Below are 18,290 nucleotides of genomic sequence, written 5' to 3'. Positions count from 1 at the left end.
AAACTGGAGTGTCTGGAAGGTAGGGGAGTGGAACCTTGGGGAGTGAATGGAACTTTCTTTGAGAGTGGGGGAATCATTAGCACCTGCTTAGTGGGCACCAAGCCTTGCTCCCTGGAGCTGGAGCGGTGGCTTCCAACCTGGCAGTGCGGGAGGGGTGCTGGGAGGCTGTTTGTTTACGCTGTGGGAGGGGAGGGGATGGAGATTTTCAGGCCCTCAGATCCACTCCAGTGACTTACACACCCCACCTTCAGCAAGAAACAGAGAGGTTTTCATTGTCATTAGAGGGGATGGGGCGAAATGTGTACACTCTGCAGAAGGACGTCCACCTAGACATTAACCAGAGTCATCTCCAGGTGAAGCGTGTTGATGACTTTTACCTTCTTTCTTGTAGTTTCCAGTGTTGCTTCAACTCATCAGTTTATGGTACAATAAGGGTGTATTTTTTCAGAAACAACAGTGACATTGCCCAACCAAGAAATAATTTTTTTTTCTCGAGCCGGAGTCTCACTCTGTTGCCCAGGCTGGAGCACAGTGGTGTGATCTCAGCTCACTGCAACCTCCGCCTCCCGGGTTCAAGCAATTCTCTGTCTCAGCCTCCCGAGTAGCTGGGATTACAGGTGCCCGCCACCACGCCAGGCTAATTTTTGTATTTTTAGTAGAGACAGGGTTTCACCATCTTGGCCAGGCTGGTCTTGAACTCCTGACCTCATGATCCACCCTCCTCAGCCTCCCAAAGTGTTGGGATTACAGGCGTAAGCCACCGTGCCCAGCCAAAAATTGTAAAATCAAGACAAAAAGTGTATAAATACCAAGATGCTCTTGCAGAAAGATGAGGCAGATCTTTCTCTGCACGAAAGAAAAACGTGCAGACGGGTGATTGCACAACCAGAGCAGCCAAGAGCTAGACCCAATGGAGTCTCCAGCAGCAGCAATGAGTTTCAGAAACTTGTGGAGAGCAAGCTCTGGGGGAACACAAGTGCCTCTGGGAGACGCCAGTCAAGAAGGGATCCCTGAGGATCACAGCAGGGGGCTGGGATCTCGGAACCCAAGAGGACCCAGGCCTGGCTGGGAAGTGGGGGTCACATGCTGTTTGCTGGGCAGCCGGGGGCCAATGACTCACCCTCCCAAGAGCACGGTGCTGTCTCTATACTGGGGATGGCACAGCTACCAGTGTTAGTACTGGGATCATAGAGTTCAGATGGGCAGGGCAGCTTCTCCCCAGTGTCCCATCTGAAAATCCCCTGGGATGGAGAACTCGCCCCGGTCCCTGGGACTCCAGCTCGGGTTCCATCAACAGTTCTTCTTAAAAGCTCGTGGCCGGGAGGCAGCACTTGTCTCCTGGAAAGCCATCAGGTTGCTAAATGCACCCACCCTTTGACCAAGCGATTCCACTTTTAGGAAGTTATACCACGGACGCATTCACACGGCAACAAGGGGAAATGCTGAAAGAAACTCATTGCATCGTGTTTTTAATAACAGAGCTTTGGAAATGCCTTAAACACCCATCCGGGGGACTGATGATGAACACGAAGAGTGCACAGTGCAAGAGTATTCGGCTGGTAAAAATACCTGCCTGAGGCCGGGTGCAGTGGCTCACACCTGTAATCCCTGCACTTTGGGAGGCCGAGGCAGGTGGATCACTTGAGGTCAGGAGTTCAAGACCAGCCTGGCCAACATGGCAAAATCCGGTCTCTACAAAAAAAAAAATAATAATAATAATAAATATATATATATACACACACACACACACACACATACACACACACACAAAAATTAGCTGGGGGTGGTGGTGCATGTCTATAATACCAGCTACTTGGGAGGCTGAGGCAGGGGAATCGCTTGAACCTGGGAGGTGGAGGTTGCAGTGAGCCAAGATCATGCCACCGCACTCCAGCCTGGACGAGAGAGCGAGATCCGTCTCAAAAAAAAAAATGCCTGCCTGCTAGGGCCCGTCCCCGGGATTCTTCAAGGACAGAAAAAGAACAGGAAGCCTTCATTTGTATTTTGAAAGGGGCAGCTCGATTCACACCCCACCCTGACTGTGAGTAGAAACATCTAGTGCTCACCTATAGCCAGTTTTCGTCTCTTTCTTAGGACCCGCCACCTTTGCGGTTGCATGAGGCCCCCGGCTAGTGAGCCGTGGGAGGAAGTGATGTGATGCTCTTTCCCGTGACTCAGTGATCTGGAGATGGGGGTGCCACCAGCAGGAGGCAGCCTGGATTTTTAAGCCTCCCTTCATAGCGAGGGCAGTTACCCCGAAGAATCACCTGGAGGCTGGGCACGGTGGCTCACACCTGTAATCCCAGCACTTTGGGAGGCCGAGGTGGGCAGATGACTTGAAGTCAGCGGTTCGGGACCAGCCTGGCCAACATGGTGAAACCCCGTCTCTACTAAAAATACAACAATTAGCTGGGCGTGACGGCACACGCCTATAGTCCCAGCTACTCGGGAGGCCGAGGCAGGAGAATCGCTTGAACCCGGGAGGCGGAGGCTGCAGTGAGCTGAGATTGTGCCACTGCACTCCAGCCTGGGCAACAGAGAGAGACTCTGTCTCCAAAAAAAAAAAATAAAAGAATTGCCTGGACACACAGCAGACTTTGCCGGATGCGAAACAAACCTTGACCATTTTAAGGCGCTCAGATGCGGGGTTCATTTGTTACCACAGCAGAGGGAGCCCTGCTGACCAATACAGCTGCACACCCAGGCACAGGTGAAGCCTGGCCCGGGTCCTGAGGGGACTCTTGGAAAACCACATTCCAGTTCAGGAGATGCTGAGAGATCTTGGCAAGTCCTTTGACTCTTCTAGGCCCGTTTCCCCATGTGGATGGTGGGGTAAGGGACTTTTTCTCCTCTGACTAAGGCCTATGCTGCTTAAATCCCTAACCCCAAAGGCTCAAGGAAGACCTGCCAGTCCTATAGGGGCAGCTGGGTGCTCACTGCACATTGGCCGCTGGGAAGAGCACCTCGGAGGCATCATGGAACCCTCACAGTGGCTCCAGGAGGGAGGTGCCATCACGATCCCATTTCCCCATGAGAAAACTGAGCTTCAGAGAGGCAAGGTTACTTGCCCAGGAACACTAGCATCTGAGATTTTTGACTGCTCTAATGCCAATTACCGCCTGGTATTTTTATTTCTTACAAAAGCAACTAACTTAAGGCCGGGAGTTGGTTCACGCCTGTAATCCCACGCTTTGGGAGGCCCAGACAGGAGGATGGCTTGAGGCCAGGAGTTCTAGACCAGCCTGAGCAACATAGTGAGACCGTGTGTCCACAAAAAAGTAAAAAACTAGCTGGATGTGGTAGCTACTCCGGAGGCTGAGGTGGGAGGATCGCTTGAGCCCAGGAGTTCAAGGCTGCAGTGAGCTGTGGTGGTTCCACAACACTTCAGCCTGAGTGACAGAGTGAGACACTGTCTCAAAAAAGAAAAAAGAAAAAAAACTTAAAAGAAAGCCAGCTGTCAATAACATAAGAGAACTGAGAATAAAAATTTTTTAAAATACACATAAAATGTGCCATCTTAACCATTTTTAAGTGTGTAGTTCTGTAGTGTTAAGTACATTCATGCTATTGTGCAACGGTCACCACCATCCACCCACAGAACTCTTTTCATCCTGTAAAACTTAAACTCTGTACCCGTGAAATACTAACTCCTCCTTCTCCCTGGCCATCACCATTCCACTCTCTGTCTCTATGAATGTGACTTCTTTAGAGCCTCACATAAGTGGAATCCTATTGTATTTGTCCTTTTGTGACAGGCTATTTTACTTAGCGTAATGTCTTCAAGGTTCATCCATGTTATAGCGTGTGTCAGAATTTCCTTTTTATGGCTAAATAATATTCCATTGTACGTATGTATCAAATTTTGTTTATTCCTGCATTCAAGGACACTTGAGTTGCTTCCACCTTCTGGCTATTGTGAGTGATGTTGCTATGAAGATGGGAGCATGAATATGTCTTCGAGGCCTTGCTTTCAACGCGTTTGGGTACATACCCAGAAGTGGAAATGCTAGATCATATGGTAATTCTATTTTTACTTTTTTTGAGGAACTGCCATGCTGTTTTCCACAGCGGCTGCACCATTTTCATTCCTACCAGCAATGCTTGAGAGTTCCAATTTCTCCACCTCCTCCCCACCAGCCCTTGTTCTTTCTGGTTCCTGATAGTAGCCATCCTAATGGGTGGGAGGTGACGTCTCATCCGGGTTTTCATCTGCATTTCCCTAATGATTAAGGAGGGGATAAGGGCTTTTTCTTTTTTCTTTTCTTTCTTTTTTTTTTTTTTTTTTTTTTGAGACAGAGTCTTACTCTGTCGCCCAGGCTGCAGTGCAGTGGCGCAATCTCGGTTCACTGCAACCTCCGCCTCCCGGGTTCAAGCGATTCTCCTGCCTCAGCCTCCTGAGTAGTGGGATTACGGGTGCATACCACCACACCGGACTAGTTTTTGTATTTTGGGTAGAGATGGGATTTCACCTTGTTGACCAGGCTGGTCTTGAACTCCTGACCTCAATTGATCTGCCTGCCTTGGCCTCCCAAAGTGCTGGAGTTACAGTCATGAGCCACCTCGCCCAGCCTGGTGAGGGTTTTTTCAATGCCGCTGGTGGGTCTACAGCAGTGCAGTCACCTGGTTCTGCTTCCACAGGAGGAAATGAGGGTCCCGGTGCCACCCCCCTCCCGGGGATGTTGTGGGAGTCCTCGAGCCCCAAACAAGCTAGTGGGGCTGCGTCTGCAGTGTGACCTGTGCCCCAGTGAACAGGCTGGGGGCCCAACTTCTCCGGAACCTCAGCCTCCGCCGATGTTGCAACCTCTCCTTCCCCTGCTGGGCCTCAGCAGGAACTGAGCTGGGCTTTTCCAGCTCCGGCCAATCCTGTGACCTGCAGTCCCCACCCAGCCTGGAACTCAGAGCAGAGAGGAGTCAGCACCACAGGGAGGCAGGTGACAGGGTCGTCTGCATGTCCCTTGGCTTCCGCATCCAGACAAAGGGCAGCTCTGTGTACAGTGTGTACAGGACATGCAGGACGAGCGTGCGGACTGTGTGGCCAGACAGATGCGGTCTGAGTCCCATTTCTGCCATTTGCCAGTGGTGTGACCTGGATAAGTCACTTCCCCTCCCCAGCCCTCACTTCGATCTGTGAAATGGTGCTTGGCACGCGGTAAGAACTCAGTACCTCCTACGATTCTCAACCCCATCCTTCTCCTCATCACCATCAACATCCACCAGGATGACCAGGTCACGCCTGTGTCCAACCATCCATGGCTCCCCCACTGCCTGCCAGAGACAGCCCATCACACTCTCATGGCTGCTGGCCACCGCCCAGACTGACCCCTGCCCACATCTCCATCCTCCTCTCCCTCTCGCTCGTCACATTCGGGGCTGCCCTCCTGTCCCTCAAACGCGAAGCTCTCCCTCCAGCCACAGGGCCTTTGCATATGCTGTTCCCTGCCTGGAATGTGCTTTCCCCACCCCATCCTGCGCTCCCTCTTCATCAGTTACCTCCTAAAAGACCTCTGAACCATGAAATTATTGGAATACTGTCCGTCTCCCTACGTCACTCTGTGAGGCCAGGATCATGCCTGCTTTGCTTCCCACTAAAGACAAGGTTGGTCCAGGTGCCCCCCAAATATTAGCCAAATGGAATTATTCCTTTCCAGAAAACCCCTGATTTTGGAAACTCAGGTTCCTTCCACAAAAACAAGCTATTCCCCACATAACTAAATAAGCTTTAACTTTCATACCTTTGGAAGGTTTTTTCCCCTTCATTAAGTGAACCAACCTGAGAAAGCCCTCAGCTACATCCTGTGTCCTCATTTTTCAGCTCAGAAAAATATGGTCACTGCACTTGGAGCAGCTGCTCCCAACGCCTGCCACGCCTCCTCCCAGCCCAGCCTCTGGCTGCCCCTTCCTCAGGACTCAAGGGAGGTTTTGGGCTGCTCTCTGGGTGACCCCTTGCTTGGGAATAAACACCCACCCTGAGGGACGGAGGACCCAGGTGGAGGTGCAGATGCGTTTCAGCCCCAACAACAAGGTCTTCAAGAGCCACAGTGAACCCTGCTCGGTGTCAGGGCCTGACCCAGCCGGGTGACACACAGCACCACAGCCAGCCGGGGGGCGAGGGTCACCTGGTTCTGCTTCCACAGGAGGAAATAAGGGTCCCAGTGCCACCCCCCTCCCGGGGATGTTGTAGGAGTCCTCGACCCCTAAACAAGCTAGTGGGGCTGCGTCTACAGCGTGACCTGTGCCCCAGTGAACAGGCTGGGGGCCCAACTTCTCCGGAACCTCAGCCTCTGCCAGGTTCCGGACCCCAGGAGGGCCATGGGCAGGAGGCCCAGCAAGACTGTGTGGCCCAAACCCATGCCTGTGTCCATCCTTCCATCCCCTTGCATATATATATATGTGTGTGTGTGTGTATATATACACATATACATATATATATATATATTTTTTTTTTTGAGACAAGTCTTGCTCTGTTGCCCCCAAGCTGGAGTGCAGTGTCACGATTTTGGCTCACCGCAACCTCCGCCTCCCAAGTTCAAGCGATTCTCCTGCCTCAGCCTCCTGAGCAGCTGGGGTTACAGGCGTGCATCACTGCGCCCAGCTAATTTTTGGTTTTTTTTTTTTTAGTAGAGACGGGGTTTCATCACTAAACCTGTTGGCCAGGCTGGTCCTGAACTCCTGACCTCAGGTGCTCTGCCCGCCTCAGCCTCCCAGAGTGCTGGGATTACAGATGTGAGCCACCTCGCCCAGCCTCCTTGCTTATCTATTTCAACAGTTATTTAGTGAGCACCTACTATGTGCTCAACCCAGTTTTTGGGAAGCCTAGTGAAGACCCCAGGTCCCGCCCTCCTGACCAAGCAATTTACACAAACCCCATACTTACTTCTGGAGAGGAGACCTAGGGCTCTGCATTCGTCCCCAGGCTCACCACCCAGCGCATTCTCTGGGCTCAGGGTCTCTGGGTAGGGGCTGGCTCTACAGGATGCTCCAGAGGGCCTCGTGGGGAGGGTGTATTCAGAGAGGGGTAGTGCACGCGTCCACTCCAGATGGTCCTCAGGGAAAGAACTTTCTCCACACGGTCATGTGAGCAGGCTCCTGGCAGCAGTCACACATCAGCATCACTGTTGCTACTGTGGTTGGGGCCAGCTCAGGCAGGGTGACACCAAGACAAAGGCCTGCAGGAAGGATGGGCTATCCCCAAACATAGGCGAGTGGAGGGAGGACTTAGGGTCACCGTCGGCTGGACTTCACGGACACCGAGGGTGAGCCCCGGGGTGAAGGAGCCATGCCCCGGCCACAGTGAGGACCAGGAAACCTCCCCTGGGGCTGGAGGCGGGGGTCCCAGATGAGCATCTGCTATTTGAGTTCTCACGGGGATCACCTTCCTGGGGGTGACAGCAGCCAAACAAAGCACACAGCTAGGTGGCCACGAGGGGAAGGCCCGGGAGCCTGGGTCAGGAAGCGGGTGGGAGGAGGGTGGGCCGGGGGCTGGGGAATGCTGCAGGGAAGGAGGGAGCGGTGAGGACGGCCGCCACACGTCAGGAGGGCTGGCTTCTGGGGCCCAGCACCCGGCAAATCTTGAAAGAGAGGAAGAGGAGCGGGCGTGAGGCCAGAGGGGACCCCAGGGCCACTGTGGGGACGTGAGTTCTGGGAGGTGCCGGCCTGAGGGGCCATCCTGTCTGCCGTTCCCCGGGGAGGCTTGGGTGGGCAGAGACATTCCCCACGGGTGACATTCCCCACGGGTTTCCAAGGGAGAGCCCCCTGTGGGACTGGAGAGCCCAGGGGACTGCAGAGACTAGAGAGAGATGAGACCAGGAAGACACCAAGGCCCGGACCAGGGCAGCCAGAAGGGCCCTCAGCGCTGGTCCCTGCAGCTCCTCCTAAGCCAGATCTGCCAGGGGAGCTCGGAAATGCCTGTCGCGGAGCCTCGGTCCATCCGCCCCTCCCAACCGGTCCGGCACATCCAGGCGCACACACATCTGTCCACAAACACACCCTCCCTCACACACACACAACTCACACACACACCAATTCACACATACACAACTCACACACCAACTCACACGCACACAACTCACACGCACAGCAACTCACATACACATCAACACACACATACACAACTCACACACCAACTCACATATGTGCCAACTCACATGCCAACTCACACACGGACTCACACACACACCAACTCACATGCACACCAACTCACACATACACAACTCACACACCAACTCACACATACATAACTCACACCAACTCACATGCCAACTCACACAACTCATATGCGCTCACACATACACAACTCACACACCAACTCACATATGTGCCAACTCACATGCCAACTCACACACGAACTCACACACCAACTCACATGCACACCAACTCACACATACACAATTCACACACCAACTCACACATACACAATTCACACACCAACTCATACATAATTCACACCAACTCACATGCCAACTCACACACCAACTCAACTCACATGTACACCAATACACACACATACACAAGTCACTTACACACCAACTCACATACACACCAACTCACACATACACAACTCACACCAACTCATACCAACTCACATACACAACTCACACACCAACTCATACACACCAACTCACACATACACAACTCACACACCAACTCATACACACCAACTCACACATACACAACTCACATCAACTCGCATACACACCAACTCACACATCTCACATACACACCAACTCACACGCATACCAACTCACACATACACAAGTCACTCACACCAACACACCAACTCACACATACACAACTCACACTAACACACACCAACTCACATACACAACTCATACCAACACACACACCAACTCACACATATACAACTCACACTAACACACACCAACTCACACACACCAACTCGCATGCACACCAACACACACTAACTCAAATACACACCAACTCACACTCACACCCTTACACATACACAACTCACACACCAACTCACACACACACCCTCACCCCAACACAACCTCACACATATACAACACACACACCAACTCACACCCACACACTTTCACACACACCCTCACACACCCTCACACACACCAACTCCCATGCACACATCCTCCCTCATACACAACTCACAGACCCATGCACACACCCTTGCCCCCACCCAACACAACCTCACATATACACAACTCACACACCAACTCACATGCACACACCCTCACTCCCAACGCAACCTCACAACTCACACACACCAACTCACACACCCTCACACCAACTCACACGCCCACACCCTCACCCCAACACAACCTCACACACACAACTCACACCAATGCACATATACACATCCTCACACACATTTACATACACCCCTGCTCACAGACACTCTCTCTGGCTCTCTCTCACACACACACACACACCCTACCCCCCACTAGGGCTCAAGGACCCCTCCAGTGTCCTCAGGGCACTGGCCCAGGGGGCGGCAAGGAGGGTGATTCCCAAATAGCAGCCCCCAGAGCCCAGGTTCTGCCCCCAGAGAAGCTCAAGTCCAGACACCAGAAGGACCTCCCTTCATCCTGAAGACATTTACATGAGGAGAGCCACTTCCCCGAGTGACTCAACATGCACAGATCTGGAGGGACACACACACGCACACGCAGAGGGCTTCTCTAGACAGCTGTGTGCACCCCTCACTTCCGGCTCAGGATTCCCAGGCTCCAGCCCGGCCCCAGCAATCCAAGTCCTTCCCATCTATGCAAAGCTCAGGGGTGCCTCTGGCTTGTGGGGGCCTCATGGAGCCATATCCTGTTCCCTCATTCCAGAGGCTTTCCCTGCCTAGTGGGGCAGCTCTGGGGCCAGGAGAGCGGGGACGGCCCCAGCCTGAACCACAGGGAAGTGGAAACCCTCAGGGAAATTCACACTCCAGCTGCCTGCCAGCCAAGGACAACACACATTCATACATGCGCACCGACACGTGTACACAGTGACACGTGTGTACATACAGCCCCATACTCACCCTGACACGTAGGTACACACTTGTCAGAGGCGTTCGAACCAGAGCGACTCCATTTTGAGTGAGGGCTGGAAAACGAGGCTGGGACCCGCTGGGCTGCATTACCAGAAAGGTGGGTATTCCGAGCCCCTAGAGGTTTATGGTTAAGGGAACAAATTAATAATGTTTACTAAAACAGACCCGGACTTAGGAGTGTCCAGATATCGCCATATCTGAAGAACAAAGGCATTCCTAATTTTGCTTTAAAGATAATAATATCGATTCTTGCAAAATATAGTAATTAAGAAAATTAATCCTTTATCACAAACCCTTGTAGCAGAGCAAATCTCCCCATATATACAAGCATTGTACCTAGGGTGGATGCGTTCCTCGCTCCTCCTCTTACTTTCAGGAACATCCTACTCTGTCTACGGAGTAGCTGTCTTTTTACCGCTATCCCTTTTTTTTTTTTTTTTTTTTTTTTGAGATGGAGTCTTGCTCTGCCCAGGCTGGAGTAGCGTGATCTCAGCTCACTGCAACCTCCGCCTCCCAGGTTCAAGCGATTCTCCTGCCTCAGCTTCCCAAGTAGCTGAGACTACAAGCATATGCCACTACACCCAGCTAATTTTTTTTTTTTTTTTTTTTTGTATTTTTAGTAGAGACAGGGTTTCACTATATGTTGGCCAGGCTGGTCTCAAACTCCTGACCTCAGTTGATCTGCCCTCCTCGGCCTCCTAGAGTGCTGGGATTACAGGTGCGAGCCACCGCGCCCAATCCCTTGTACTTTCTTAATAAACTTGCTTTTGCTTTTCACTGTGGACTCATCCTGAATTATTTCTTGCGCGAGATCCAAGAACCCTCTCTTGGGGTCTGGATCAGGACCCCTTTCCCGTAACACACTAACACATACACACTGAAACTCACACATGCACTAATATACACTCCCCTACTCCCACTGGTGCACACACACCAGCACACTCACAATGACACGACACACCCAAGCACACACGGACACAGGCGCGCACACACGGACACAGCAGTGTGTAACTCTGGGTCTCCGGTGGGTCTGAGTGGTCTGCTCCACGGTGGGTCTCTCCTGAGGCTGGAGCCTCCTCTCAGAAATGTTTCTGCCCCCAGCTGCCATGTGGCCTAAAATCCTGACAAATTAGGAAAGATTCCTTTAAAACCAGCACTTCGGATTTTAGGCTTAAGCAATATTTGGAAAATGTGAGGCTCAGTCCCCCAGCTCGCTGGGCTGTGGGCCTGTCACCTGGCGCGCGTGGGGGCAGGCAGGAGGAGGGGGCTGGCTCGTGGTATGGGGCGAGCCCGGGCAGATTTGGGGCACAGGCAGGCACGCGGACACCCCACCGCTGAGAGCCAGAGAGACAGCAGAGGGCCGTGGGGATCAAAGACAGGGCTCTGGAGGGACCCAATCCCCACCCACTCTCTCTGCAACCCTCCCCAAGGGACTTCACTCCCGCAAACCTCAGTTTCCCCATCTGCACAATGGGTGTGAACCCGGGACCCACTTCATGGGCTAATGCGAAACTTAAATGACACCGTACCAATTAAGTTATAAGCCCTGGAAGCCCAAGAAAAGAAAGCGGTGGTGCGATGGGGGAAAAACCACCATCCCCGGCTTCCCGCGTGTAACGGGGCCGAAAATAACCAGCATTTTCCTTTTCTCTGCGGCTGAAGCCCACGCTTCCCAGAGGACCGGGCCTGCTTATCAGGAGCAGAGCGGCTCGCTCGGCTGTCTCCGCCAGAAGGTGACTGTGGGGGCCCGGCTCCCCTCCTGCCTCCAGCCCGACTCCCACCAGGAACACACCAGCTCCTCCCCCCGCCGCCCCTTTCAGGTTTCCGCCCCACCCCCAGCCCGCAAACAATTTTGCATATATTTAAATCTCCTCTGCGAGTTCCCCCTCCCCCGGAAAAAGAGAGAAAAGAAATTACAAAGGCCGTCATTTGTCTCCGTCCCCGCACCCCATCTATCAGGGCCCGGAGCCCGTCGCCTCGAATGAGGCGCGCGCCCGGGACGGCCGCTTTAATGGGGCGCCGCGTGTGACTGTGCAGCCGCGCGGCGGGCGCAGCCGGCCGGCATTTGCATACATATTAAACGGAGCAGTAAAAAATGCAGACATGCAAACCATTTGGACGGGCTCCTCGGCGTAGAGCCTGCCAGGAAATCAATCTTCTGGTTTCTTAAAGGCAGCCTGCTCGGGAGGAGGTGGCGATGCCACACAGCCCGCAGGCCGTGGGAGGGGGCCATCGTCTGTCCATCTGCCTGCGGGAGCAGCCGTGGGGGTCCTTCCCGGCCATGGAGGAGCCACCTCCTGGGAGCCAGGGGCCGGGGAGTTGAGTGTGGTGGGTCCTGGCTCAGCCGGCTGTGTGCCCTGTAGTAAAAGGGGTCCCCTCTCTGAGCTCCCCCTCACTGGGTGCTGAAGATATTTCCTTTCCCTTTTGCTAGGCTGGGGCTTAAGGGACTAACCCAAGATCACTGGGCCCCTCTATGCAGAGCCTGGGTCTCTAAGCCAGGTGCGAAGAAGGATGGCCAAGAACACAGGCTCTGGGGGCGGGCGGCCTAAATTCAAAGTCAGGCTCCACTCCCCAAGAGCTGTGTGATCTTGGGCAAATGCATCAACCTCACTGTTTCCCGTAAAAGGGGGATCAATATGCCTCCCTCTTCGGTATGCTGTTGGATTGAAATAGGTCAGCCTTGTAAAGCACTTGGCTCATTGCCTGGCATGTAGTAAGTGCTCAATAAATAGTGGTAGAACAATGTGTAGGAGGGCCCTTGGTGTTATTGGTATGTTTTTCTTGGTGAATATCCCTCTTTATATCTGCATAGTGTGGCAAGCCACTCCTCCCAGAGCCTCCTTACCTGTAAAATGGGGTGTTTTGATTTTCACGGGAACTGCTAGCTGTGTTCTAGAAGGCACTGGGTCCCTGCTGTGTGCTCCCACCCACCCGCTGATTCCAGCCAGGTGTGGCCAAACTGGCGCCTCTGAGGGCTGCCCACAGCCTGTCTTAGGCAAAGCCCAGAGCAGGGATGGGGGCATACCCCCAAACTGACCATACATCTGTGGGGCCAGGAAAAGGCAACTGGCCCTGAGCCTCAGCCTAGTGAGACTGGGGCCTCTCTGAATTCCATGGCACAGATAAGGAAACCGAGGCTCAGAGAGGTGTGGCAAAGCCAGGAAGCTTGAAGGTGGTGCCTCTGGGATGCAAGCCAGGTGTGCCCAACTGCAAGGCCACCTCCCCAGAGGTCCCCCAGAGAGGAAATACTGCCGGCAGAGGGAGGAGCTCATCCCACAGTGTCAGGGAACACAGCTTCCCCCCAAAGGAGGGGGGTGCTTGTGGAGAAAGAGCTGAGTTTTGCGTCTGAGCCCAAGTGAATATTTGGTACTCATGAAGGTCCTTCCTTTTTTTTTTTTTTTTTTTTTTTGAGATGGAGTTTTGCTCTTGTTGCCCACGCTGGAGTGCAATGGTGTGATTTCAGCTCACTGCAACCTCCAACTCCTGGGTTCAAGCGATTCTCCTGCCTCAGCCTCCAGAGTAGCTGGGATTACAGGTGCCCATCAACACGCCCAGCTAATTTTTTGTATTTTTAGTAGAAACAGGGTTTCACTATGTTAGCCAAGGTGGTCTCGAACTCCTGACCTCGGGCGATCCACCCACCTCAGCCTCCCAAAGTGCTGGGATTACAGGCATGAGCCACCGTGCCAGTTTGGTCCTTCCTTGAAAAGACCCAGAGGAAGAGGGGAGAGAGGGTTTTCAAGAACCAGCTCAAGTTTGGCCTTCATTCATTTACTTCATACTCCCGGAAGCGAGGAACAGAGGTGACCAAGGTCCCCAAGACCTGGCCGGGCAGTGGGCAGTGGGAAGTGGTGGGGAGTTAATGGCAGGATGGAGGGGTGCACCTAGACCAGTGGGTGCACTGTCCTCTCTGAGACCCTGGGGATTAGGTGAAGAGGCCAAGCCAGTGCATTGGGGTGGGGGGGCTTTGCCTTCTGTTGGGAGAGGGTCCCCTGTGGTTCAAAGCTTCCCAGCTGAGTGGCAATGTGACCTCCCTGCTGTGTGTGGGAGTTGCAGCCTAGAGTTATGGGAACTAAAGAGGCCAGACCCAGAGCTGTGGCCCAATTCACTGGTGTCTTGCTGTGTGACTTTGGAAAAGGCCCCGCTTCTCTGGGCTGGGGTGGCTGAGCCAACTGCACCCCTGCTCTGTCTCTCAGGGAACCCCTCTCTTTCACTCTTGACCTTCAGGCTATCTGGGCCTCTGTCCCTCCACCTCCCTCTGCAGCTGAGTGCAGGCCGCCCCCACTGCCCGGCAGGCAGCCCAGCCGGGGTGGAGGAAGCCGGCAGGGCGGGAAAAGGCGGGAGGGGTCCGAGTTACAGGAACCAGCAGGGCCATTGCTCAACTAGGGAGCCTGGCCGCGGGCCTGCCTCGGCCCCCACCTCTAGCAGCCCGCCCTCCTCCTAGCTCTGCATTGCAAACATTCCTCGCCAACCTCGGGTTGCTGCAGCCCCGGAAGGGGGAACTGCAGCAGACACAGCACCAGGCCGCCAGAAACACTTAACCCCTTCGCTCCTTCCAGGCAGAGCCTTCAGGGGGAGGAAGGAGGGATCTGGGCGGCAGCCGCGGCAGTCCTTCCCAGCCTCTGGGTGACCGGGTCAGGTGATTTGCTGGCAGGCCCGGCCACTGATTACCAACCTGGATCAACAGGTTGCGCGTTCATGACTCACCCAGCAGACATTTCCGGAGCTCCCCCTGGGTGCTGGCAGCAGGCATGAAAATCCAAGAGCGGCCCCAGCATCGGGGGTGGGATGCGGGTCTCATGAGCAGACGTGTGTTTTAGATCATTACAGTGATGAGAGCAACCAAGACGTGCAGGGTGAGCCTGAGCACAAACTAAAGTGGCTCAACTCATCAGGGAGGGCTTCTTGGAGGAAGCGACACTTAGGGAACCCTGTGAGAGCAGAGGGAGAGAGTTCCAGGCAGAGGAGGCAGCAAGTGTGAGGCTCTAGAGGGAAGAGAGACGTTCTCATGTTTCAATCTGTGTTTCTGGAGGAGAGAGAGGAAGGGGAGGAAAGCCCCAGGTGGGAGAGCTTGGCCCATGCCAGGTCCCAGAAGGCCTTGAGGCCACTCCCAGCATGAACCGTCATCTGAGGTCAGTGAGGAGCCAGGGAAGGGCTTATGTGTGGAATGACATGGTCAAGTTTAGCTCTAAGCCCTAAGACGCCTTGAATAAAAAACAGAACCTTGGGCTGAGCGCGGTGGCTCACGCCTGTAATCCTAGCACTTTGGGAGGCCGAGGCAGGTGGATCACGAGGTCAGGCTATCGAGACCAGCCTGGCCAACATGGTGAAACCCCGTCTCTACTAAAAATACAAAAATTAGCTTGGTGTGGTGGCACGCACCTGTAGTCCCAGCTACTTGGGAGGCTGAGGCAGGAGAATTGCTTGAACCCAGGAGGTGGAGGTTGCAGTGAGCCGAGATTGCGCCACTGCACTCCAGCCTGGGCAACAGTGCAAGACTCCGTCGCAAAAAAAAAAAAAAAAAAAAAAAAAAAAGCCTGGGCTCAGTGGCTCACACCTGTAATCCCAGCACTTTGGGAGGCCGAGGCGGGTGGATCACCTGAGGTCAGGAGTTCAAGACCAGCCTGACCAACATGGAGAAACCCTGTCTCTACTAAAAATACAAAATTAGCCAGGCGTGGTGGCACATGTCTGTAATCCCAGCTACTTGGGAGGCTGAGGCAGGAAAATCGCTTGAACCTGGGAGGCAGAGGCTGCGGGGAGCAGAGATCATGCCATTGCACTCCAGCTTGGGCAACAAGAGCGAAACTCGTCTAAAAACAAAAACAAACAACAACAAAAAACAAAAACAGAACCTTACTGGAAAGAGGCCGCTAACATATTTTCATGTACAAACCAAATGGACTCTAAGACCAGAACACCTGAACCACGCCAAAGTGCCACCAGCAGGACACGTTTCAGATGGCAGCTGGGCCTGGTACTAGGCTCTCCTGCAGCCTACATGGCCATTCTGCCATCCCAGGCCACATAGAAATCTGCAGGCTCAGGTTGGTTCTTCCTCCTGGGTTGGGGTCAGCACCTCCCATCTCCCAGACACCACTCCTGCATACAGCTGGAGTTCAATAAATGCAGCAATTAATCAGAGTGTTAAAGTTGGGAGGGGCTGAGAGATCATCTAGGCCCACAGCCTCCTCGCTTTTTTATTTTATTTTATTTTTGAAATGGAGTTTCACTCTCGTTGAAGACTCAGAGAGGGAATCCCTGGCAGGGGGGCCTGGAATTTACAGCCAAGATGCCCACAGAGCATGTCCAGAGAGGAGGCCAGCACACCCAGCTGCCCAGAACCTCGGTACCCACAGGAAAGACCCCAAAATCTCCCCACCAAAGCTCCCTTCCTTTCCCTACCTCTCACAGGGCCTGTTCTCTCTATACCTGGTCTATTTGTTGGGACAGCAAACGTAGCCGGAGTTCCTCTAAGTCCTGCTCAGCCTGGTGAGACTTCCAAAGGAAAACATGCCCAGAATCCTCCCTCTGTTGAAAATCATGCCCCAACAGGACAGGAAGGGGCCGGGCAGTCTCCATGCCTGCACATGCCCCCAGCAGAAGAAAGGGCTGAGCTCCTCCCAGCCTCCTCGGGGATCACCCTGCGGGAGGCCCCAGCAGTTACCACAGTCTGTTTTGTGGCTCAGGGTCCACTGTGTGTCACTGGATCCTTCCAGGCAATGGAATTTCTAGAAAGGTTCCTTCAACCTGGGACACCACCACCTTGGTGACCCGCCACCAACTCTGCCATGTGAAACACCTTACAGGCCTTGTGCTGGGCCAAAGATTCACTCTCCGAATCCTCATCACAAGTGGTGAAGTTTGCTGTTATCATCCCATTTTGCAGATGGGAAACTGAGGTCCGTGAAGTCACTTGCCTGGATCACACAGCTCATGACCAGTATGGGTCGGCCTGGGACACAGGCATTCTGGGGCTCACCACCAGGTGTTCCACGTGTCACCACTAGACCTCCCAACCAGGGAGCCCTGCCGCTGCCCCAGCCTGGAGACGTGACACTTCTCCCAGCCAGGAGGCTCCAGTGAAACCAGGGATTCCCCAGGCTCACCCTGACTCCTCATCTTGTTAACGTATTTAATCCTCATCCTGTACATGAAATAAATATTTCATCTCATCTATTTATTATTTGTTTATCGTGGGCATTTATCCATCCTAAGCTTACTCTCTGCTCAAATCTTCTCCACACGGGTTCGCTCAGGTTACCAATTTTGTCTCAGCTTCCATCAGGCAGAGCCACGTGTGTTGCCATAGCCAACATCACAAAAAAATCTCATTTCATGCATTTCATAGGCATGAGTGGCCTGACTTGAAAATATCAGTGGAACCTGCTCATGGGGACAGGGGTTGCATAGCACCCTGAGGCCCATGAGGTACCTGGTACAGAGTGAGCACCCAGGAAGGGAGGCTGGGTTATTAGTACCGCTGTTTTCCAGGGCTTGGTGTGGCTGATAAATTTTTGGTCTCTTCCCCTTCTCTTCATATCACAGGTTAACAGGTTCACTTCCCAATGTTACTCATGTCTACAAAATGGTAAGAAAAAGCAACTGTGCAAATGAGGCAAGTTACATGTCCTGGTACCAAAGTGATGGTTACTAAGGCAGTTGGCCTCCAACATGGTCTCCAAACAATTCGCACCTCCTGGCATTCACACATTTCCACAATCAATCAGGCTGGCCTGCATAACCAATAGGATACTGAGGAAATGACTGCATGTACTGTTCAAGGCTAGGTCATAAAAGGTACTGCAGCTTCAGTCTCACTCTCTTGCATCACTCACTCTGAGAAGCCAGCCGCCATATTGTGGGGAAACTCAAGCAGCCTGCTGAAGTCTGCATGGCATGGAGCTGAAGCCTCTTTGTCAGCCATGTCAGTGAGCCATTTAGGAAACAGATCCTCTATCCTCAGTCAAGGCTTCAGATGACCACAGCCCCAGCTGACATCTTGATGGCAACCTTAAGACAGACCAGCCAGCTAAGCCACATCTGAATTCCTGACCCACAGAAGCTGAGATACTAAAATGCCTATTTTAAGCCACTAAGTTTGGGATAATTTGTACTCCACAGTAGGTAAGGAACTAATACAGAAACAGAGAGACCTTTTAGTTATGAGAGCCTTCCACCGACTATGTTCCCAAAGTGTGTTCCTTGGAATGCTGATCCCAGGCTTTGCTCTGGAAAACCAAGATCAGTTGAATGGAGGCAGACTGTGGATTCCAGT

The 18,290-nt window shown here is 53.2% G+C and overlaps 1 long non-coding RNA gene across 2 annotated transcripts, besides 4 other annotated features; it reads right to left on the bottom strand.

The window, feature by feature from the left end:
• Positions 1 to 1,440: 1,440 nt before the first annotated feature.
• On the bottom strand, positions 1,441 to 11,995 carry LINC01503 (long intergenic non-protein coding RNA 1503). Of its 2 annotated transcripts, none has more exons than NR_120685.1 (4): positions 11,930 to 11,995; positions 10,001 to 10,126; positions 6,875 to 7,182; positions 1,441 to 1,692 (listed from the first exon to the last, which is right to left on the bottom strand). It is a non-coding gene; the product is annotated as a long intergenic non-protein coding RNA 1503 (long non-coding RNA). The 2 variants fall into 2 exon arrangements; NR_120686.1 differs by having other exon boundaries at positions 6,875 to 7,086.
• Positions 11,515 to 12,318: an enhancer, noted in NCBI's record as "H3K27ac-H3K4me1 hESC enhancer chr9:132098879-132099682 (GRCh37/hg19 assembly coordinates)". NCBI's record gives its function as "activates a minimal SCP1, AML or CMV promoter by ChIP-STARR-seq in naive and primed H9 embryonic stem cells {active_cell/tissue: H9 hESC(naive and primed)}" and the evidence as "EXISTENCE:reporter gene assay evidence [ECO:0000049][PMID:30033119]".
• Positions 12,319 to 13,122: an enhancer, noted in NCBI's record as "H3K27ac-H3K4me1 hESC enhancer chr9:132098075-132098878 (GRCh37/hg19 assembly coordinates)". NCBI's record gives its function as "activates a minimal SCP1, AML or CMV promoter by ChIP-STARR-seq in primed H9 embryonic stem cells {active_cell/tissue: H9 hESC(primed)}" and the evidence as "EXISTENCE:reporter gene assay evidence [ECO:0000049][PMID:30033119]".
• Positions 13,713 to 14,912: an enhancer, noted in NCBI's record as "MED14-independent group 3 enhancer chr9:132096285-132097484 (GRCh37/hg19 assembly coordinates)". NCBI's record gives its function as "activates an origin of replication core promoter dependent on BRD2, BRD4, P300/CBP and CDK7 cofactors, and independent of MED14, by STARR-seq in HCT116 cells {active_cell/tissue: HCT116}" and the evidence as "EXISTENCE:reporter gene assay evidence [ECO:0000049][PMID:35650434]".
• Positions 13,927 to 14,729: an enhancer, noted in NCBI's record as "NANOG-H3K27ac-H3K4me1 hESC enhancer chr9:132096468-132097270 (GRCh37/hg19 assembly coordinates)". NCBI's record gives its function as "activates a minimal SCP1, AML or CMV promoter by ChIP-STARR-seq in naive H9 embryonic stem cells {active_cell/tissue: H9 hESC(naive)}" and the evidence as "EXISTENCE:reporter gene assay evidence [ECO:0000049][PMID:30033119]".

The sequence above is a fragment of the Homo sapiens genome, chromosome 9 (genome assembly GCF_000001405.40).
Source record: "Homo sapiens chromosome 9, GRCh38.p14 Primary Assembly".
Taxonomy (NCBI): Eukaryota; Metazoa; Chordata; class Mammalia; order Primates; family Hominidae; genus Homo; species Homo sapiens.
This window is presented reverse-complemented; position numbering and strand designations above follow the sequence as displayed.